The sequence below is a fragment of the Homo sapiens genome, chromosome 2 (assembly GCF_000001405.40).
Source record: "Homo sapiens chromosome 2, GRCh38.p14 Primary Assembly".
In the NCBI taxonomy this organism is placed as follows: domain Eukaryota; kingdom Metazoa; phylum Chordata; class Mammalia; order Primates; family Hominidae; genus Homo; species Homo sapiens.
This window is the reverse complement of record NC_000002.12, coordinates 239,917,595-239,941,330: the sequence shown is the minus strand read 5'-3', so window position 1 is coordinate 239,941,330 and position 23,736 is coordinate 239,917,595. Positions and strand designations below refer to the sequence as shown.

Genomic DNA, 23,736 nt, shown 5'->3' with positions numbered 1-23,736 from the left:
TTGTGAAGATACTTTACCCTATGTGCCACTCCCATTGCCCTTGTCCAGGGAGGCCAGCATTCCCTGTGCTTGAGAGATCTTTTTGTTTGCATATGTTCTGACATAATGTGTTGTTTCGTGTGTTTGCATTTTTAAGGAACGTAAATGGTTATGGGTCATACGTCTATTGCCTGTGTGTTTTCACTCAACACTGCCTCTGTAAGCTCCTTCCTTGTTGCCGTGGGTGCATCTGGCTTGCCTGTTTCTGCACCTTGTAGTGACCTTGCTGCTGTCCAGTTTCGCTTACCCTTCCTGGGTGGTGGGTACCCAGACGGCCTGCAGTGCTGCAGGAAGAACCTCACACATGGAGAAGAATATCTGTGGTTCACAGAAAACTGTGCATTGCCTAGAGGACACTCCTCAAGGTTATTGGATTCTACTCTGTCATCATTTAGAACTATCTTATAACTCTGTTCCTTGTAGGTCACTGATAGCAGTACAAAAGAATTCATATAGACGGGAATGTTCTGTGCTGTATAGTGGAAATCCAGTGAATACCTCCCATCCCCAGGAGAGAGCCCGGTTTGCCTTCACTTGCATATTGATTTAAATATCTCTGATCTCTAAGTGTGGCTATTCTTTGGATTCTGTTTTGAACTGGTGATAACATCTGTCTGATACCTTCCTTGATAAGTGAATAGACTAAATTTCAAATGTGTTCCTTTTTATATTTCTATGAGAGTCATGATTTTACTTTTTTTCTGAAAATTAGCTTTTAACACACATATCTCCTTATGGATCTGTGTAGAAATTTACTTGGAGAAATTTATCAAAGAATAGCATTGCTGGATGTGCTGGGCATTACTGATGTTCATCAATATTCAATCCTTGCCTCCTTCTGGAAACTCAGAGCGTACTTCCAGCAATGTGGCTCATTCTGTCCCCAGGCTGGGAATAGCCGTGACAGTGTCATTAGTGGGCCAAAGCAATGATAAGCTATGGTGAGATCCTTATGCCACACACTCTCTTCCCTTGCCACAGTGACTGCCAGTGTTTTAGCTCAGGGCTGGCAAACTGGCCCGGGGGCCACATCCCACTCACCACCTGTTTTTGTAAATAAAACTTTATTGGAACACAGCTGTGACGTGTCATCTGTGGCTGGTTTTGCCTGGAGTTGAGTATTTGTAACAGAGGCTGTATGGCCTGCAAAGCCGGATGTGATGTCTTTACCCTCCAACCCTTTACAGAAAGTTTGCCAACCCCTGTTGTGGATGGTGGAGCTTTCAGCCGCCTGGGTTCCTCAGAGGCGGTGGGAAGCAGAGCCTACCCCCAAGTCACACCAGACACCTGAGCAAGACATGACCCTTCCCCGGGCTGAGCTGCCAAGCCTGGGCAGACTTGTTGCCAGGCCTCTCCTGGTCAGCCCTGACTGAGTAGGGCTGGCTGCCCCATGGAATCGCAGCTTGGCCTGCACTGCAGCCGGTTCCAGGAGGGGCCATGTGGCCCTCGTCTCCCACACCTGGGATTATCAGCGTTCTGACCGTCCCCAGGGCCAGGCATAGCTGTGCTTCCAGTGGGTAGTGCCCTGTTTCCGTGTGCCTGGTAGCCCCTGGATTTCTTCTTTCCATTGCCTGTTTGCATCCTTTCCTTCTCTTTGGCTAGGATAGCTGTCCCTTCCTTGTCGATGTGGAGAAATTCCTTTCCTATTTGGAAACTTTAGACATTACAAATAACCTCTCACCATTTCTTGAATATTCTGCATGGGTCAAATCCTTCATAATGAACTTGTATAATCTTTATCCCCCCAAAATGATTCTCCTTAAAAATGCAAAAGCAAACAAAAAGTGTGGCAAAAGCAGAAATGCCTTCAGCAATGGCAGACACGTTGGAGTACGCGGGTGGCCCCCCAGGGAGCTGTTTCCACTGCAGCTGCCTCACTTCCTGGGACAGATGTGGGCTTTGCTCCTTTGTGGTTCTACCCCTCTCTCTCCGCGAGTTCCACTCGCCCTCCCCACAAACCCAGGAGCATTTCAGCAGGTGCCCTGCTGGGGCTGGTTTGAATAAGTCACCTCTTTGGAAAGTGTCCAGAAGACACTGGCTGGCATGTTGGGGCTCACCAAGGCAGGAACCCGACAGACCCCCAGGCCTCCCTTTCCACTCAGTGAGGATCATGACAGTGCCCGGGGCATGAAACGCGGGCAGCTGGATCCTGACTGTCCGCGGGTCCGAGGATCCTCCCCACGCCTGGGCGCTCAGGGCCACCAGCTTACGTCTGCCTAAGCCCTGCGAAAGGAGAGCATTGTGGGGCCTCCTGAGGCAGCGTCTTTCCGCCGAGCACTGTTTCCCCCAACCCAACGGCTGAGCATTGCGGGGCCTCGTGAGGCAGCGTCTTTCCGCCGAGGAATGTTTCCTCCAACTCAACGGCTAAACAGGAACCAAGCCGTCCGCGGGGGCCGCTGACCCTCTGGCTGTGCTGGGTATGTGTTGCTCAGCTCATGCACTTGTGCACCGATGCTCGCTGGATGGTGCATTCGCTGCGCCGTCTTCTCTGTGCCGTTTGGGTGAAACTTCCTTACTCCTGCCAGGATCTGCACCCTCCCCTGCCTCGTTTCCTAGCCGCCCCCGTTTAACTGATCCACAGGTCCCCTCTGCCGGCATCTGCGCAAGTCCACCCTGCAGCCCCCCAGGGCAGCTCATGCAAAGGCAGAGAGGAGACTGAGATCCAGAGATCATGGCAGTGGATTAACCACAGCTGCCCGGGAGCAGACCCCACTGGGCAGGAAGAGACGCTGCCCTGGAAGTAGCCGCCTCCCAGGGCATCCTGGAAGAGGCATCCTGAAGCTCACACACATAGAAGAGCTTCTCCATTGATCATACAGCCTCTGACAAACCAGGAAGCAACTGACCTATTGCACAAGTTGGAGACCAAAAGCATAAACCCCGTGTGTGTCGGTGGCTGCCCAGGCCAGCGGCCACCTCAGTGCAGGTGAGGTCTGTCCTCAGGGGGGCCTGTGCAGCATGCGGAGTGGCGGGAGGTGTGGGACGGCCAGCCTGGACAGCAGGTGTCTGTAGTGGGCAGAGCACTGCCATTGCCACGCTACAGGTTTATTCCATATCACGGTGCTGTGAGCTACATGCTGTTATCACCCCCATTTGCAGATGGAGAAACTGAGGCCCTGACAGATGGGGGAGCTGTCCGAGAAGAGAAGTGGGGACTGCTGGGGAGTGGGGTGCTGGGGTTGCGGCCGAGCACTGGGCTCCCTTCTCTTATCCCCGAGGCTGTCCTGGCGTCAGGGATGCAGGGAAAAGGCCACCAACCAAACAGAGCCGCAGAAGCACAGCAGTGAGTATTTGCGGCTGCTCTCCAAGGATTTAAACCATGGCTCGGTGGCCCCAGCCAGTGACAGTGTGGCACATTGGGGTGCTGTGAGCAGTCATGATCAGCTGTGAGGTGTGTTACAAATAATTTGTTACAATTAAAGTCGGGCTTCCACCAGAATGGCTGTAATAAAAAGGTAGATGGTAACCAACGTTGACAAGGATGTGGAGAAACTGGAACCCTTGTGTGTTGTCAGTGGGGTGTAAAATGGCCCTGCTGCTTTGGAAAACAGCTTGGTGGTTCCTCAAAAAATAAATGAGTAGAATCAGGATCAGCTCAAGAGCACTGAACGCACATGTCCTCACAGAGTCTTGTACATGCATGTTCAGAGCACATTATTCACAATAGCCAAAAAGTGGGAGCAGCCCACATACCCGTCAGCTGATGACTGGATGAGCGGACTGTGGTGCATACACATGGCAGACTCATTAGGCCATAAAATGAATGAAGCTGGGATCGAGGCCACCGCGTACATGAACCTTGACAACAGCCACAAAAAGCACATAGTGTATGATGCCAGTTACTTGACATGTCCAGAACTGGCAAATTCAGGAAGACAGAAAGTAGATGAGTGGTTGCCAGGGGCTGGGAGGAAGGGGAACGGGCAGTGACTGTCCATGGGCATGAGGCATCCTTTTCAGATGATGGAAATGTTCTAAAATCATACCGCAGTAGTTACGCAATTCTGTAAATTTCCTGAAAACATCGAGTTGCATACTCGAAATGGGTGTATTTTATGGTATAGAAGCTATGGCTCAGTGATGTTGCTTTTAAAAACTGATGGCAAAGTAGAGTGCATGGGCTCATGTTGGCAGGTTCTTGACCATTTTGCAATCACAGCTGTGCGGTGAGCGTCTCTGGGGTGGCCACTGCGGACTGCCCCCAGCCCTCCCCTCTGCTCCTGATTCGTCAAGAGGGGGCATGTGGCCATGGACACACGAGGGGAGGGCAGCTGGGGCTTCCAGAAAAGATTACATCACTTGTACTTATTTCTTTTTTATTTTTATTTTTTTGAGACAGGGTCTCTCTCTGTCACCCAGGCTGGAGTCCAGTGGCGCGACTGTGGCTCACTGCAACCTCCGCCTCTCAGATTCAAGCAATTCTCCTGCCTCAGCCTCTCGAGTAGCTGAGATTACAGGCATGCACCGCAACACCCGGTGCCTGGCTAATTTTTTTATTATTAGTAGAGACAGGGTTTCGCCATGTTGGCCAGGCTGGTCTTGAACGCCTGACCTCAGGTGATCCACCCGCCTGGGCCTCCCAAAGTGCTGGGATTACAGGCATGAGTCACCACAACCTGGCCAAGACTTACTTTTTTAAAAGCAGGTTTAGGTTCACAGCAAATCTGAGCGTAAGGCAGGGATTTTCCCCATGCCCCCTGCCCCACACTTGCATCCTTGTTCCCCACCAGAGTGTCCCTGTCCTGGTGTGTGAGCCTGCACTGACCCGTCGTCATCCCCCAGCCTGCAGTTTACTTTAGGGCCCCCTCGGTGTTGTGCCTGCTATGGGTTTCAGCAAACGCATAATGACACGTATCCACCGTTTCAGTGTCACGCAGAGCAGCCTCCTGCCCTAACAGCGTCTGTGCTCTGCCTGTTTATTTCCCTGCCCCCACTTACCTTTAAGGAGACACCAGGAGCAATGCCCATTCTCTGCCTGGGGACACTGCCGCCTCTACCATGTCCTGCTGCCCTGCCATCCTGAGGAAAGCCAGCAGAGACCCTGGCAGATCCTGGGGCCCGGAAGCTGCTTGTGTGAGTCAGCATGCACAGGGCATCTGCTGCCCACACCTCCGCTTGGCCTGACCAACAGTCACTGTTCACTCTCTTCCTGCACCCTCATGAGTGCTCTTGAACAGGAGAAGTTCTGGGGCTGGAGCCACAGCTGCCCTTGTAATAACTGCAGGATCCCAGCACCTGGTTCAGGCTGCCCAGCCCTGGGGGAGCCGGGAGTAATAACAAGGTCTGTATTGAGAAGCACCTTCCAGGTATTGCAACACAGGGCGTTTCTGAAAACAACAGTTTCCCTGTGTGTTAGTCTGTTTTCACGCTGCCAATAAAGACATACCCGGTCAAGACCGGGTATTTTATAAAGAAAAAGAGGTTTAATGGACTCACAGTTCCATGTGGCTGGGGAGGCCTCACAATCATGGCAGAAGGTGAAAGGCATGTCTTACATGGCGGCAGGCAAAAGAGAATGGGAGCCAAGAGAAAGGAGTTTCCCCTATAAAACCATCAGATCTTGTGAGACTTACTCCCTACCATGAGAACAGTATAGGGGAAACCACTCTCATGATTTAATTATCTCCCACCAGGTCCCTCCCACAACATGTGGGAATTATGGGAGCTACAATTCCAGATGAGATTTGGGTGGGGACACAGCCAAACCATGTCATCACTATCGTTATGTCAGTGGGAGTGAGACAGCCAGGGAGTCCCCGTCCTCAACTCTGTGGGAAAATATTACGCACCATGAGCTGAGCGATGGGGACAAATGCAGAAATGGGAAGTGCAGGCTGCTCCCCGAGGCCCGATCTCTGACCCCCACACGGCCCTGTCGGCCTGCAGGGCCCAGGGAATCCGGTCAGCGATGAATTGTAATTTTCCCATCCAGTGGCACCGGTCACCATCCACATTACAAAAGTGGATTTTCACTGGATGAGCTAAAATCTGTTCACCAAATGTGTTTGAGTGGCCTTTGGGTTGGCTCTTACTTTACACTTAACACCACAGGGCAGGCAGGGACTGGGGGAAACGAGGGCCTTCCAATACTTGCCCAGGTCCTGCAGGGCAGGGCTGGCCACAGAGGGAGGCACCCCGTTCAATTTTGCATCCTGGGAACCAGCGCTGAGAGACAGCCAGGAAGGACATGGCAGGTGCTATTTCGGACCAGAGGCGAGAGAGAAGGACTCTCCCAGGAAGAGCAGGCAGCATCCATGCAGGGGAGGCCTCCATTCCAGGGGCGCCAGAGGTGGTTCTGAGGCTGTGGGTAAGGCAAAGTGGGGAGGGCCAGGCTGGTGGGCACGCGGCAGCTGCACCAACTACACTCCTAGGCCCCAGTGGGAGCTTGGATTGAAACCTGGTGAGCGAGAGGGAGTGGGGTTGTCTGAGTTGCAGGCCCATGTGTGGAAAACGGGTGGGGGCGGAGGTGGCTGGTCCATGCGGTGGACAGAGAGAGCCAGAGAAAGGAACGAAGTGATTGATGCTGCACGGAGGTCACAGTGAGAACGCTGCGCTGAGACCTGTCAAAGGACAGACAATCGCAGCTGACAGGACGAATGAGGTCCAGCGCCCTCTACCGCTCTAGGATGACTCTGCACTTACTAATCACATGCAGCTTCAAACAAGGAGGATGTTGAATGCTCCCAGTACAAAACAGGGATAAATGTTTAAGATGATGGGTAAGCGAATTACCCTGATCTGATCACTGTACATTATATGGATCCAAACATCATGAGTATGTACAATTCGTCAATAAAAAAATAAAATGAAAAGGTGATGAGAAAAGAAGCCAGACGTCAAGGACCCCGTATTGTTACAATTCCTTTCATGCCACATGTGCAGAGTGAGATTTGGTTCGTGGTTCGTCAGGCTGGGGGTGGGGGTGGGGAGGCAGGAGGTGGAGTGGGAACTAGGAGAAGGTTAAGACCCACCTGCCCCCCACTCCCTCCCAACATGGCAGTGACTCTGCTGATAAGTGGCTGGTGTCATCACATGTGGGAGGCAGAGTTCATGGGACAGTGTGGAGACTAGGATCCAGGGCAGGAGATGGTGCCTATTAGTTTACTTAAATCTGGCCAGGCATGGTGGCTCACACCTGTAATCCCAGCATTTTGGGAGGCCAAGGCAGGAGAATTGCTTGAGGCCAGCAGGAGGATCGCCTGGGGCCAAGAGCTCAAGACCAGCCTGGGCAACATGGAGAAACCCCACCTCTACAAAAATTAATAAATTATCCGGGCCTGGCAGTGTGCACCTGTAGTCCCAGCTACTCTAGAGGCAAAGGCAGGAGGATTGCTTGAGCCCAGATGTTCAAGGCTGCAATGAGCTGTGATCGTGTCACTCCACTCCAGCCTGGGTGACAGAGTGAGACGCCCTCTCTAAAAAAATTCAAAATACAAAACTGGATCATTCAAATCTATGATCCAATCCGCTTATGGAATGGTGTTACCTTGATTAATCTCTCTTCCCTGTAATTTTGGGACGTGCCCCTGTTTCACTGACTTCGTTCCGTACAGGGCCCTACATATCATTCCTTAGATCCTTGGAGCACCTGATGCCTGTCAAAGCATTTTCACACACAGGGTTTTACACGACACTCCCCGTAGCCCTGGGAGGAGGCTGCAGGGACTTCCTGCAAGTGTAGCTGTGCATTAAGTTGGAGGCTCTGAGAGATCCCGCCACTGCACTCCAGCCTGGGTGACAGAGCGAGATTCCGTCAAAACAAAACAAAACAAAAAAACAAAAAAAAAACCATGGAGGCTCCGTGGCTTGGCTGTCCCAGCCTACAGCAGTGGTGGCAGGACTGGCAGGACCAGCTGGCTCCAGGTCGCTCCCCAGGCCCGGCTGCAGCCTTTGTCCTCAGGTATAGACACATCATTATTGTGGCCTGGGATGTCCCCAGGAGACAGCGAGACAGGGAACTCCTGAAGGGTAGAGATGGAGGCCTGAGCTTGGAGCATCTCTGAGCAGTGTAAGAGGGACCCGAGGCAGATGGGATGGAGGGATATGGCCTGGGTGGGCAGAGTTCCTCTGTTCCTCAACTGCTGTTAGCCTTGAGAAGGGCAAGGGCTCCCAGCATCCAAACTGCTTGCCTCCTGGGGGTCCCTCCCTAGCCTCCTATCCCTCACTCCGATGTGACCTGCTACTGCCTGGGACCTGCCCCTGTGCTGGGAGGTGCTGAGATGCCCCCATCCCAGGCCCTGCCACGGGAGACAGACCACAACCTACACGGGCTGCCGTCACTTGTCATAGCCTGCCTTCCCCACTGAGGGCTGCTTCTAGCGTGTACGGTGGAGTCTCGCTCATAGTGTAGGCTCTTAAAAATGGTTTGTAAATAAATGGATTAATAAAGCCCATTAAATACTTTGATCAGAGGCCAGGCGCGGTGGCTCACACCTGTAATCACAGCACTTTGGGAGGCCGAGGCGGGTGGATCACGAGGTCAGGAGATTGAGACCATCCTGGCTAACACGGTGAAACCCCGTCTCTACTAAAAATACAAAAAAAATTAGCCGGGTATGGTGGCGGATGCCTGTAGTCCCAGCTACTCGGGAGGCTGAGGCAGGAGAATGGCGTGAACCCGGGAGGTGGAGCTTACAGTGAGCCGAGATCCCACCACTGCACTCCAGCCTGGGCGACAGAGCGAGACTCCGTCTCAAAAAAAAAAAAAATTCTTTGACCAGAGAGTTTCACTTTTGGAAACTTATCCCAGAGGAAGACCTAATTTACAAAAGGGCTCACAGCTTCATTTTCTAAAATAGCAAGAAACGTGTAAGCAATCTACACGCCTGCGGGCTTGCGGGGGTGCCGTGTCATGGAAAAGCGCAGAAATGTTTTACTGCTGTCGCATGGTAACCGTGTAGGCTTTGCAGGTGCTTGGAAAGTAGTTTTTTAAATGGTTAGAAGAAAAGCAGAATGCAGAGAAACACAGGTACAACAGTTTCGGCCAAGCACAAGTGTCAAAATAAGGGTTTCAGCCAAGCAATGAATTAATAGATTCTTGGTGCTAAGAGGCAAAAGGGTATTTGGGTTTTTGTTTCCCATTTTTTCGCAAAATATAAAGATGTCTATTCAATAAACATGAAAAAGGAACCATGTGTGATTAAAGGAGCAGAGGTGCAGGCCGGGCGCGGTGGCTCACGCCTGTAATCCCAGCACTTTGGGAGGCCGAAGAGGGTGGATCACGAGGTCAGGAGATTGAGACCATCCTGGCTAATATGGTGAAACCCCGTCTCTACTAAAAATACAAAAAATAGCTGGGCGTGGTGATGGGCGCCTGTGGTCCCAGCTACTTGGGAGGCTGAGGCAGGAGAATGGCGTGAACCCGGGAGGCGGAGCTTGCAGTGAGCCGAGATCGCACCACTGCACTCCAGCCTGGGCCACAGAGCGAGACTCCGTCTCAAAAAAAAAAAAAAAAAAAAAAGCAGAGGTGCAGATGAAGGGCGGCTCTTCAGAGCCCAGTACTGTGAGTGTGATTTGTCCAGAGGGATGGAGGCTCTTGGGGAGCCCCAGGGCAGCTGTCTTCTCACAGGACGTTACAGCTTGGGGGCCGCTATGGCCTGTGGGCCAGCCTTCTCATCTTGCTGAGCTTGTATTCATTCACTGAGTAAACACTGACTGGGCACCTGCTGTGTGCCAAGCACTGGTTTGGGCGCTTGGAGATCTGGAGGGCACAGTGCAGGTGGAGACCCTGCTTGGGGGAAAGACGCTGTGGCGAGGAGACCCCGCTTGGTGGAAAGACGCTGTGGCGAGGCGAGTGGTGTCCCCAGAACGTGTCCACCTGGGACTTGTGAATGTGACCTCATTTGGAAAAGGGATCTTTGCAGATATGTTAGTTAAGGATACTGAGATGAGCTCATCCTGGCTTTCGGGCACATCCTCATCCAATGACAAGTGTCATCGAAGGAGAGGGAGGGGGCTGTGTGAGGACGGGCAGGGGCTGGAGCGAGGTGCCTGCATGCCAGGGGTGCTGGGCACCTCCAGAGAGGCCCGGAACAGCTTCTTTCCTGCAGCCCTGCAGACACCTTGATTTCTGCAGAAGTGAGAGAGACTACATCATGTGGATTAAGCCGGTCTGCCCCAAAGAGCTCATGCCTGTGGCCAGGGTGAAAGTTGCTGTTCAGATGCTCACAGGGAAAAGCCAATGGGACCAGAAGCACTCAATTTAGCAAATCAAGTCACTGCTCTGCTCAAAACCCTCCGAGGCTCCCACGGCCCTAAAAAGCTAAACGCCATTCTCCACAGGGCCCTACTGCCCCCTGACCTCCCTCCCTGCCACACCCCTCCTGGACCCTGCCCCCCCTCCTGGGCATGCTGTACCCGTCCACCAGGACCCTGCGGCCTCCTGACCTCCCTCCCTGCCACACCCCTCCTGGACCCTGCCCCCCCTCCTGGGCATGCTGTACCCGTCCACCAGGACCCTGCGGCCTCCTGACCTCCCTCCCTGCCACACCCCTCCTGGACCCTGCCCCTCCTCCTGAGCTCGCTGTACCCATCCACCGGGGCCTCCATGCCTGCTGTTCCCCTGCCAGGAACTCTTCTGCACGCCCTCTGGTCCGGCTCCCGGTGCATCCTTGCCTTCCACCTCCCTGTTTCCCACAACCCCGCCCTGTGTACCTTTCCTTCCTGGTGCTCACCACTGATTGGCCGGGTGCCACCTGTGAGTCTGTAGAGCTCTTTGGGGGCGGCAGGCAGGGTCAGCAGAGGCTGCGGACAGCGGGGTGCAGAGGGACTGGAGCCACTGCCTGCAGACAGGCAGGACCGTCTTTCTGCTTGGTGTGACCTGGTCATTTCTCTCGGCGAAGTGGCGATCAGGACGGGATCCATGGGGACGGGGTCAGGAAAGGTCTCTGAGGAGGGCATCCTGGGAGATGATCTGCATGCACGGCTGAAGGAGGAAATTTGCAGGGGATGTGAAGGTCATGGCAAAGGTCAGAGCAGGGGCAATGGAGGAGCAGGGGTGGCAGAGGAGCAGGGGTGGTGGAGAAGCAGGGCTGGCGGAGGACTAGGGGCGGTGGAGAAGCAGGGCTGGCTGAGGAGCAGGGGCAGTGGAGAAGCAGGGCTGGTGGAGGAGCAGGGGCGGTGGAGAAGCAGGGGCAGCGGAGGAGCAGGGGCAGTGGAGGAGCAGGACTGGTGGAGGAGCAGGGGCAGTTGAGAAGCAGGACTGGCTGAGGAGCAGGGGCGGTGGAGAAGCAGGGGCAGCGGAGGAGCAGGGGCAGTGGAGGAGCAGGACTGGTGGAGGAGCAGGGGCAGTTGAGAAGCAGGACTGGCTGAGGAGCAGGGGCGGTGGAGAAGCAGGGGCAGCGGAGGAGCAGGGGCAGTGGAGGAGCAGGGGCAGTGGAGGAGCAGGACTGGTGGAGGAGCAGGGGCAGTGGAGGAGCAGGGCTGGCTGAGGAGCAGGGGCAGTGGGAGAGCAGGGCCGGCGGAGGAGCAAGAGCAGTGGAGGAGCAGGGGCAGTGGAGGAGCAGGGCTGGTGGAGAAGCAGGGGCAGTGGAGGAGCAAGAGCAGTGGAGAAGCAGGGCTGGTGGAGAAGCAGGGCCGGCGGAGGAGCAAGAGCAGTGGAGGAGCAGGGGCAGTGGAGGAGCAGGGGTGGTGGAGAAGCAGGGGCGGTGGAGGAGCAAGAGCAGTGGAGGAGCAGGGCTGGTGGAGAAGCAGGGCCGGCGGAGGAGCAGGGCAGCTTGCTGGAGCAGCAAGGGCTGCCGCACTTCCCGGGCTTGTGAGGTGCACTAGCCTCCCACAAGAAGGAAAATCACCACTGATTAAATAACGTTGAGAGGTGAGGAAACACTGCCATGGCTTATTTTGCATTCCTTGCAAGAGCTCTTTTTGACTCATTTTTTCCTTTTTATGGAGGCTCAGGAGTGAGACCTGAGACCACAAGAGAAATGGCCTCGTGAGACCCTGGCCCCTCCTTCCCATTCTCAACCACCTTCGACAACTCAGTCATCGGTGTCTGCGTCTCTGCCCGGTACCGTCCTCCGTAACCCATGGGTGGCTGATGCAGCCATTGTCCCTGTCTCCAGGGCAGCAGCCAGGCCACCGGTTGGTGCCAAGCACGCACATCACTGCAGTGTCAGGGCAGCGTCTCGCCTGGGTGGCTGCATCCCGGCTTTGGAGACGCCGGGTGGCGATCTTGTTACGATCTCGTTAGCCAGATGCAGCGTTCTCTTCATTTTTAAAGAGCAGTGGGAAGGCACGGGAGGGGGTTCAAGCCTGCTTTGGTTCTTGTCTTCAGCTCACCGGGCGCCAGTGGGGAGCACTGGACAGAGACAGGAGTAGGTGCAGGAGGAAGAGTCGGGGGCTCCTGACCTCGGGAGTGGGATCCGGGTGGCCGCGGGGCGATGGGAGACAAAGCGTTTCGGAGTCAAGGCTGGGAGGATTCGCGGAGGATCCGCTGATGGGAGGAGTGGGGTGAAGGAGCAACCACACAGGCTCCGAGGTTGGGCCTGGGCTGCTTGGAACACGGATACCACCTGTTTGGAAGGGACGCTGCAGGGAACGCGGAAGGGTCTGACATCCTTGCACAGAGGGACCTGGAGCGGGATGTCCGGTGGTTGGCTGGGTGCCTCTGGAGCAGGTGAGGCAGGGCTTGGAGACAGCTTGGGAATCACAGGTGAGAGTGTCCCCCAGGGCCCTGGATGAGGTCACCTGTGGGGAGAGCATAGTTGGAAACGAGATGTCGCTGTCACAGCTCCAGGGTGGGAGACAGGAACTGCATTAAACCCAGCAGCGGCTCGCGGTGGGCCAGGGCCGAGGAGTCTGGCGTGGATTCGGGGGATTTCCTGCCATGAGGAACTGACTTCACAGAATAATAATCACAATAGAAGTAATTTTCAGATCGCAAGTGGTTTTCCTTTTTCCTCTTTGTGTTCTCTTTCCAGCTCTGTATTTCATCTTGTCTTTTGCCTTCTTTTCTTTAGTCATGATTCATGGAATTCATGTGCTCCTTTATTTCTTGGAAAACATGAAAGCAGTTGAGGTATACATTTTCTTCTGTTATGGAACAATTATGCCTTCAAAGTGGCATTGGTACCTGCCTTTTTTTTTCTGTTACATTTGTTTTCTTCTTTTGTTATTTTTTTTTTAAAGTCCTGGAATCTTTGTACAGACCTTCTGCTCCTTACTCGCGTTTGTGGTGGGGGCTGTGCTGGGGTCTGCTGTTTTCCCATGTGGGATGGGAGGGCCCTTCTTGACTTCAGTCGCTCTTTACCTGGGTACTGGTGTTTTGTGTCTTTGCTTTTAACTTTTAATTTGATGACTACACATGCACAAGAAATTGCAAACGCAGCATGCAGAAGTCCCCTGTGTCCTTGCCCAGCACCCCCACAGCCACCGTATTGGGGTACCAGGGACCTGACAGTGATGGGCCCACCAGCCTTGCCGAGTTTTTGCCAGCTTTCCTCACACTCATTTGTTGTTCCATGTGGTTTTATAGAATTTTGCCACCTGTGGCGGCTGCCACGCTGATGTCATCGTGTGAATCTCCCTCAGGCTGTCCCCAGTCGCCACCCAGGCTCCTCCCCTTGCCCCACCCCTAACCCTGGCAACCAGGAAGCTGTTCTGCAGCTCTGTGATTTTGTCATTTTGAGAATTTTGTATAAATGGAATTGTGCGGCATGTGACCTTTAGAGATTAACTTTTAAAATTCAGCCTAATGCCCTTGAGCCCCCTCCAGGCTGTGAGAGTGGCAATACAGTCATGCTTTGTGTAATGACGGGGATACATCCTGAGGACTGCACCGTTAGGTCGGTGAGTCAGCCAGTGGGTGGGGAGTGAACGTGAGGGCCTGGGACATGACTGTGCACTGCTGCAGACTTTATAGACATTGCACACTTAGGCTAAACTCAATTTATCGTTAAAAGTTTTCTTTCTTCAGTAAGCTAACCTTAGCTTACTCTAAGTCTTTTACTTCATACACTTTTTGATATTTTTTAACTTTCTGACTCTTTTATAATAACATTTACCTTAAAATACATGTTACAGCTCTATATTCTTTCTTCATATCCTTATTCTATAAGCTTTATTCTATTACTTTTTTAACTTTTAAAACTTTAAAAAAATACTAAGGCACAAATGCACACATTAGCCTAGGTCTACATACGGTCAGGATCATCCATGTCTGATAGGGTATAACTGTGTCCCCACCCAAGTCTCATCTTGAATTGTAGCTCCCATAATCCCCATGTGTTGTGGGAGGGACCTGGTGGGAGGCCGTTGAATCGTGGGGGTGGATCTTTCCCATGCTGTTCTTGTCACAGTGAATCAGTCTCATGGGATCTGGTGGTTTTATAAAGAGAAGCTCCCCTGCACACACTTTCTTGCCTGCCACCATGTAAGACGTGTCTTGCTTCCCCTTCGCTCTCCACCATGATTGTGAGGCCTCCCCAGCCATGTGGAACTGTGAGTCCATTAAACCTCTTTCCTTTATGAATTACCCGGTCTCGGGTACGTCTTTATTAGCAGCATGAGGACAGACTAATATGACGTCACTGTCTTCCACCTCCACCTCCTGTCCCACTGGAAGGTCTTCAGGAGCAGTAGCACACATGGAATTGTTCTCCCCTGTGGTAATGATGCCTTCTTCTGAATACCTCCTGAAGGACTTATCTGAGGCTGTTTTACAGGTATCTATTTTTTTTTATAAGTAGGAGGAGTACACTCCAAAATTATGATAAAAAGTATAGTGTACTAAAAATATAATCCAGAAATATCGTCAGTTATTTTCATCAGTATTATGTACTGTACATAATTGCATGTGCTAGACTTGTATATGACTGGCACACAGTAGGTTTGCTTACACCAGCCTCATCACAGACAAGCTATGACATATGCTGGCTACAGTGTCACTAGGGGATAGGATTTCTTCAGCTTCATTATAGTCTCATGGGACCACTGTAGCATATTTGGTCTGTTGTTGACTGAAGCATTGTATGCTAGTTTTTTCTGTTTATTGCTGAGCTCACATTACCAGTGTACCACAGTTTGTTTAACCATTCACCCATTGAAGGAAATTGACATCGTTTCCAGATTTTGACAATTATGAATAAAGCCGCTATGAACATTGATATACAAGTTTTTGTGTAGACAGAAAGTTTCATTCCTCTGGTGTAAATGCCCAGAAGTGTAATTGCTGGATCGTAGGGTAAGTGTATGTTTAATTTTTTATCAGAGACTCCAAAATGTTTCCCAGAGTGGGGTACCACCTTACATTCCCACCAATGATGTGTGAAGGACAATCTCTCAGCATCCTCGTCAGGCTTTGGTGTGGTCTCTATTTTTAATTTTAGTTGCTCTGAAAGATGTATAGTGATATTTCATTGTGGTCTTCATTTCTCTAGTGACTGGTGATGTTAACATGTTTTCATGTGCTAATCTGTATATCCTCTTTGTGAAATATCTGTTCATGTCTTTTGCACATTTTCTAACTGGACTGAGCTGATCATTGTTGAGATTTGAGACCTTCTTTATGTATTTCAGATTTTGTCCTCTGCCAGGTGATCTCCCACCTTGTAGCTTGTCTTTTCATTCTGTCACTAGGGCTTTTCACAGAGCAAAAACTTAAATTTGCGTGAGGTCCAATTTTATGTATATTTTTTAATTGATAATACTTTACGAGTCAAGTCTTAAGAATTCTTCACCTAACCCTAGATCTCAAAGATGACCTTCTCTGTTGTTTTCTGCAAGTTTAGTAGTTTTACACTTTACATTTAAGTCTGTGGTCCATTGTGAGTTAATTTTTGTACATAAAGGGAGACTTAGGTCGCAGTTCATTTCTTTTGCCAATGGATGTTCACTCACTTCAGCACCATTTATTTGTAGAAAGACTATCCCTTCCCCATTGAATTGCTTTTGCACCTTTGTCAAACATCAATTGGAAGTACTTGTATGGATCTGTTTCTAGGTTCTTTATTCTGTTCTCTTTTCTCTCTGTTTCTCTATAGTCTTGATTACCGTAATGATGGAGTAAAAATTAAAATCAGGTAGAGTGATTCCTCCCACATTTTTCTTCTTTTTCAAAATTTGTTTAAGCTAGTCTAGTTTATTTTCCTTTCCATATAAAATATAAGATATGCTTATTCACATCTGCACAGATTTCTGCTAGGATTTTAATAAGAACTACACTAAGACTATAGATGAATTTAGGGAGAATTGAGTTTTCCAATTCATGAATGTGGTATTTCTCTCCATCTATTTAGATCTTATTTTACTTATCTCATTAACATTTTGTAGTTTTCAACATACAGATCCTGCACATGGCATGTTTATTTATACATAGGTAATTTTTTGAGTTATTGTAAATACACTGCATTGTATTTTTAATTTCAGTTTCTATGGGCTCATTGCTATTATACAGAAATACAATAATTTTTACGTGTGTTGTTCTTGTATCCTGCAGCCTTGATGAACACGCATTAGTTCTAAGAATTTTAAAATAATTGAGGGGAGATAATTTCTATGTATACCATCATGTCATCTGCAAATAAGAAGAGTTTTTCTTTATTTTTTTCCAATCTCTATGCCATTTGTTTTCCTTTCTTGACTTACTACTCTAGTTAGGATTTTTGGTCCTACATTGAATAGGAGTGGTAATAGTAGACATCTCCAACTTCTTAATGATATTCAGGATCCGAGTCTTTTATCATTAAGTGTTATGTTAGCTGTGATTTCTTTTTTTTGGTAAATGTTCTTTATCGAGTTGAGGAAGTTCCTCTCTCTACCTGTTTGCCGAGAGGTTTTTTTTTAACATCATAAATCAGTGGGTTGACTTTTGTCAAGTACATTTTCTGCATCATCAATTGATATGATAATGTGAGTTTTTCTTCTTTACCTGTTTACCTGTTGATGGTGTATTATATTATTTTCAATGAACCCTACTTTGCATTCCTGCAATAAAACCCACTTGATTGTGGGGTATGATTCTTTTTTTAATGTGATGTTTGATTGAATTTGCTAGTGTTTTGCTGGGGATGTTTGTATCTAAGTTCATGAAGGATATTGATATTTTTCATTTTTGTGCTTCCTTTTTCAGGTTTTTATTAAGGTAATACCAGTCGCATAAAATGAAAAAGGATATGCTTTTTTCTCTTTTATTTTCTGGAAGAGACTGTGTATAATTGGCACTAATTACTCTTTGAATGTTTGGTAGAATTCTCCACTGATACCACCTGGGCATGGAGACTTTTAAAGAAGCTTTTAAATTAAAGATTAAATGCATTTTATATTGGATGAGCTGTAGTTTTCAAGTAATTGATCCATGTCATCTAAGTTGTGAAATTTATGTGTGCAGTAATGTTTGTAATATTTGCTCCTTTTAATGGCTGCAGGGTCTGTAGTAATATCACCTGTTTCATTTCCAGCATTGGTAATTTGTGTCTTCTCTCTTTTTCCTTTGTCTGTCTTGCTAGAGGTTTATTAATTTTATTGATATTTTCATGGAAACAAGTTTTTATTTTCTTGATTTCCCTTATTTTTCTGTTTTCAATTTCATTGATTTCTGCTTTTTAATTTTCTTTTTCTTTTTTTTCTTGCTCTGTGTTTATTGTGCCCTTTTTCCTAGCTTATTTGTGTAGGAATTCAGATTATCTTGGCACTTAAATTATTGATTTGGGACTCTTCCTCTTTTCTAATGTAAGCATTTAATACGCACCCCACAAATTTTGATGTGTGTGTTTTTATTTCTATTTTTTCTGTATTATTTACTTTTCTTCTAGGATATTTCTTGAACCCATGTATTATTTATAAATCTGTTGTTTAATTTTCAAGTGCTTTGAGATACTCCTGTTATCTTTTTGTTATTGATTTCTTCTTTGGTTTCCTTATGGTCAGAGAACATATTTTGTATGGTTTCAGTTTTTTTTATGAACCAGGATATGGTCTATTTGGGGAATTTTTCATAGGTATAGAATGTATATTATGCAGTTTGAAGTGCAGCAGTCTAGAATATTAGATACTTTTGTTTGATAGTGCTCAGTTTTTATGCATCTTTGCTGATTTTGTGTCTAGCAGTTGTATTGCTGAGAGAAGGGTATTGAAGTCTACAAGTTTATTTGTGGATTTGTCTATTTCTACTTTCAGTTTTTGTGTTATGTATTATGAAGCTGTGTTGCTCAGTGGCTATGTATTTTGGATTGCTGTGTCTTCTTGCATATTGACCCTTTCATCATGATGTATGTAATGGCCTCTTTTGTCCCTGGTAATTTTCTTTGCTCTGACACCTACTTTATCTGATAACATATATAGCTACTCATACTTCTCTTCTTTTAAGCCAACATCTGCCTCCATCCTTTACTTCTAATTTACCAGACTTTGATGTTCTTGAGCCCTGGCAATGCCAGTTGCTCCTTGGTTTGCAGCCTCATGGTAATCATTGTCCTTTCTACTTCGCAAAGGTGTGGTATCCGTACCCTACCATCTTACCTGCTGGCACACTGCACACCTGTGATGGGGCCGGGGATTCTTAGGGTGCTTACAGCTCCAGGATGACACCTGGGGTGGAAACCCACTTCACTCTCCCTCACAGTCTGCCTCATCAATTTTAAACCAGGTGTCCCTGGAATCATAGCTGTCATATCATGTTGGTACAGGGGCTGGGATGAGCCCAAGGACCAAGGCATTGTGGCGTAGAAAAGTCAACCTGACGGACGACAGTGGTAATGGCAATGCCCAGCCTCTGATTTTTCCCAGGTGACACCGCCTCTATCCCCTGAGAAGTCATTGTACTGTCTAGAGGAACACATGGTCACTATCCGAGAAAGACATCCATGTGTGGGAGAAAGACCTGTCTCTGTGTACCTGTCATGGAAGGTGGAGGTAGGGCATGGTCTGTGAGTGCTCCTCTCTGTCCTGGGGTCCCTGATGCCTTGGCCTGCAGCTCACTGCCTGCCTTGAGCCCCTCTGAGACTGGGTGGTGGCATTGAGGGCTCCCAGGCTGCCCAGCCATAGTCAGCAGAAAGGCAGACTGTGGGGTTGGCCAGCTGAGGTGCCTAGCTGCCTTTCAGCACAGAATCCAAGTCACCCAAAGATAACTGGCCACTCCAGAGCAGAAGTGGGTATAAAGACAAAGGGACACTCAGGACATTTAGCAGCAAGGTAGGAAAAGCTCATTTAGGGGCAACTGCTTATAATTGAGGGGAAAATGGAAGGAAGGGAGGAAGGGAGGAAGGAAGGAAACAAGCAAGGAAGGAAGGAAAGAAGGAAGGGAGGGAGGGAAGAAGGGAAGGAAGGAAAGAAGGAAGAAGGGAAGGAAGGAAAGAAGGAAGGAGGGAGGGAAGGAAAGAAGGAGGAAAGGAGGGAGGGAGGGGAGGAGGAAAGGAAAGAAGGAAGGAAGGACAGAAAAATGGAGGAAAGGAGAAAAGGAAGGAGAGAGGGAAGGAGGGAGGGAAGAGGGTCAGGAGGATGGACCTGAGCAAAGAGCCAGCAGTGTCCCGTCCCCACCCTGCCCCCAGATCTGGCTGAGCCTGGTTCCGTGAGGCCTCACCCAGAGGGAACTGGAGCTCCATCCATAGAACCTCACTAATGTCTGACCCGGCCTCATCCCGGGTCTCCTCGGCCTGGCCTTACAAGGGGATTGTAAAATGCGCCAATCAGTGCTCTGTAGTAGCAAGAGGTTTGTAAAATGCACCAATCAGTGCTCTGTAAAAACACACCAATCAGTGCCCTGTAGCTAGCAAGAGGTTTGTAAAATGGATCAATCAGCGCTCTGTAAAATGGACCAATCATTGCTCTGTAAAATGGACCAATCAGCAGGGATCCTAAAAGTAACCAATCACGGGGAAGATTGAAAAAAGGGCACTCTGATAGGACAGAAATGGAACATGGGCAGGGACAAATAAGGGAATAAAAGCTGACCACCCAAACCAGTAGCTGCAACCTGCTTGGGTTCCTTTCCACGCTGTAGAAGCTTTGTTCTTTCCTTCTCCACTCTTTGGGTCAGTGCCACCTTTAAGAGCTATAACACTCATGGCAAAGGTCCGTGGCTTTGTTCTTGAAGTCAGTGAGACCACAAACCTACCAGAAGGAAGCAGCTCTGGACACAGCAGGGTTGGGCCCAATGAGGTGCAGCTCACTCGCCTACCTACACGGCTCATGCCCCGGTTCCTGCAGGTTGTGACCTGCCCTAAAGTTTCCTTAGGTTCGAGCCACCATATTGATTTGCAAATAATATTGGTTGATTGACAAACGATCACACACTCCTGTGGGACAGGGGCTCTGGCTCTTGGTTGCTCTGTCCACAGAACCCTGTGGCTGTGTGGAAGATGCTACTTCCTGGACAATCATCTCTAGGCATTCAGCCTTCCCCAGGATACCTGAGGAGAGACAGGAGAAACCTGCCCACCTGGGGAGACTCAGAGGGGTTGCCCAAAGATTAAAGGGGGCAGCCAATGACCAGGCACCTCAGACGACCCCACCCCTCCGCCTTCTAGGAACTGTGTTCATCTGCATCTGCCAGGCTTTCTTTCAATAGCAGGTGTGGCTGGGGCTGATTCTGCAGAAAAAGCAAGAAACAAAACCACAGCGCCTCCATCGCCGTCACGCAAAAGGCCTGGGAGCCCCTCCCTTAAAGGCCACGTCCCTTCCTTTACCTTCAGAGTTGCTTCCTTCCAGAAACTGTGTGGAGCAGTTGGATGTTGGGCTCTAGGGAAGTTAAGGAGACGGAGACACAGCTCCTTTTGGCAAGTGGGGATGCTATTTAAGGACTCCCGTTCTCAATTTTTAGCTTAGGAGAAAACACTTTAAAAATAGTCTGCGGCTCCAGCCCCAAACTGGCTGTCTGGCTGCTGAAGCCTTTTGATTTTCTCCCCCTCGGATGCTCCTGTCCCTGGGGCCTCAGCCTCCAGGATCTGCCCCAGGACGGGGCTGAGCAGGCACTGTGCCCAGTCCCCATGGCAAGGGGACCTTATCCACGTGTCAGTCTGGGCTGCTGTACAAACTGCTGCTGATGGGATGTCTCAAAGGACATTCCATTCTCAGCTCTGCAGGATGGCAGTCCCAGGTCAGGGTGCTGAGGTATTCTGTTCCTGGGGAGGGCCCTCTCCCCACCTTCCTGCTGAACCCTCACACGGGGTTGGAGAGAGAGGAAGCAGCATTCTGCTGTCCCAGTCCCATCATGGGGCCCCACCCTGTGACCCCACTGAACCCTGACCACCTCCCAAAGGCCCCACCTCCAAATCCCATTATGCTGGGACCAGGGCTTCAACATATGAATGGGGGGGAAGCACCCTGGGAGCAGGGTGAGGGGGCCCCCAATCTCACAGGTGCTGGGGCACACACAGTACTGCACCTTAATTTCAGGCCTTGGACCGTGGCTATCCTGATGGGGAAGGACTGGCGTAGGCAGGGGCACCAGCCTCCTTGCCTCCCTATGGCAGACCTGGGCGGCCCCACCCCTCCTTCCGTAGGGGCCGTGTCTTCCCCCGCATTCTCTCCAAATGGCAGGAGAACTCAGAGTTCATGGAAGATGTGTTCAGGGAAGGGTGAAGTGTGGAGAGAGGCTGCAGGTGGAGAAGCCCTTTGGAAAACGAGGTATTCTCAGGGATGGTTTTGTTTGTGTGTCAGGTTTTCTGAGAATGTGATCCTCTTAGGATGGGGCCTCAGTTTCACAGGAATTACTTGGATTACTGTAGGAAGAATGCTAAAATCACCCATAACCCCACACCCAGTGGCGGGCACTGCAGGTGTTTTGGTGAATCTGTTTCTGTATGAGCCTTAAGGCTGCGTTTGGTTATTCCTTCAACTTACCCCGTTCCGCATGCCCACTGCGTGTTAGGAATCATCCTGGGAGCTGTAAGTGCAGCAGAGAACAAAGCCGTGAGGATGCCCCTGCCCTCGAGGAGCCAGCATTCTAGAAGGAGACAGAAGTAGGCTAGTCGAGTAATTCAAGGAGCCATGAAGGACAGGGAGGGGCAGAGAGTGAGGAGGGAGGGGTGATTTCAAGCAGGGGTGGGAGGCCCCAGTGCAAAGGGGGCATGAGACAAACCAGGAGAAACAAACCATCAAGAGAAAACAGCCCGAAGAGGGGCAGGGCTGCTGTTGTCAGTGGCTCCAGAGCTGCATGCCTTCTGTGCCACCGAAGGTCCACATGGTGGCTGGAGCAGGGACTGGAGTCCTGGTCTGGCTTCCTCCTCAGCAGTGGGTGTCAGTCTGTCCCACCTCGGCCCCTCTGCTGCCTCCCAAGATGGTGCTTAGACCTGGAGAGACAAGTGCCACCTCCCATCCCTGCTGTCTTCAGATCTTGTCAGGAGTCTGCCCTTCATGGGGTGGAAGCAGCCGGTTACTGTGTCCCTGCCATTGGCCTCCCACCTGCTGTGAGTGGGGATGGGAAGATGGACACTGGACGAGCAGGAGGAGGGTGAACTCCATCAGAGGCAGCTGGACCCAGACCTGGAGGAGACCCTGCCACACGGGCCACCCCTTCCTGAACTGGCTGTGTCCTTGGCAAGCCCTCAGCGTGGAGAGCGAGGACACGGGTGGGAGCTGACGTGGGTAACCAGTCACCATGCGTGGTCCCAATGCTGGATTTCCATCTTTGTTCTGTGAGGATGAGGCACCAACTCCACCCCTACCCACACCTGGGAATAAAGTGGAGGAGAGAGAACTTGTGAATGGTGGAGAGCTGTTCTCCAGAGCTGGGGGCTTTCTTAGGGTCTGTGGATGAGGCTGCCACTGCAGGAGGGGAGGGAACTAAGGTATGAGATTGTGTTCATGGGTGAGAAAGTGATTTTGCCAAGTCAGGTTTTCCCTGGCCTCTGTGTCAGGGTCTGTCCTTGGGAGACAGGATTGGGTTAGCACAGGGGTGGAGGGGCTCAAGAGGAAGTCTCCACTGGTACTGAGTGTCAGGCCTGGCGTGCGGGGGCACCTGAGGAGGCCTCGGGTTCAAGGCTCCTGCAAGGGTGGGCTTCCTGAGAGCAAGGGCGATGGGGCGCATGTATGTCCAGTGTCCAGTCCTCCTTGGTGAGGGCCTCCCTGGCCTGTTGCTGCCCAGGGCTGTGGGACCTCAGTGGAAAATACCCAATGGTGGGTTTTCCTGGCAACATGGCAGGTGCTGGCCATGTGCCAGAGCATGCATGGTCCATCTGTGGCACCCTCCTTGATGCAGAGGGTCCCTCAGGCCCCAGAGCAGGTCCAAGGAGGGCAGAGACCCCATAATTCAGGCCCAGGCAGCAGAGACAGAGGCCCTTCCCCTGAGGACCAGGAGCAGGCCCACCTGGACAGCCCAGGCCTCCTCTCCCCACCTGGAGTCCAGGGCTGCTGGGCTGCCGCCACACCATGACTGGCTCTGTGGCTCCCATTCTGCACTGCAGCCCAGGGCTGGGGGTGCTGCTCCTCTGCTGAAACCTTCTCAGGGCTCACATGTCACTGGTACCTGCCATAGCTGCCATCTTCCCAGAGGGGCTCTTGTTGTGGGAATCAGGAGGATGAGAGAGACCTTGGGGTAAAGCAGGAGGATCTTTACTGAGTGCATTCAGAGCCAGCGGACTTAACATCTGGAAAACTGGGCCTGGAACAAAGACAGCACATGACTTTTATGTACACTTCAAAAAGGGGGTGGGCTAGCTTGAAGCAGGCTTACAGTTACAGTGGTGTGGAAGCAAGGATACAGAGGCAAAACAATTAGTCAAATTGTGACAGGTTCATAACTCAGGATTACACATGACTGTTGCT

At 50.6% G+C, this 23,736-nt stretch overlaps 1 protein-coding gene across 1 annotated transcript in view, besides 1 other annotated feature; it reads left to right on the top strand.

Annotated features, from left to right (window-relative positions):
• Positions 1-23,736, top strand: part of NDUFA10 (NADH:ubiquinone oxidoreductase subunit A10) — a 132,901-nt gene that overhangs the window by 84,012 nt on the left and 25,153 nt on the right. The window lies entirely within an intron of this gene.
• Positions 12,206-12,427: a silencer, noted in NCBI's record as "fragment chr2:240868321-240868542 (GRCh37/hg19 assembly coordinates)". NCBI's record gives its function as "represses an EF-1alpha promoter that drives an FKBP-Casp9 reporter gene in an ReSE screen in phorbol 12-myristate 13-acetate-treated (for megakaryocytic differentiation) K562 erythroleukemia cells {active_cell/tissue: K562(+PMA)}" and the evidence as "EXISTENCE:reporter gene assay evidence [ECO:0000049][PMID:32094911]".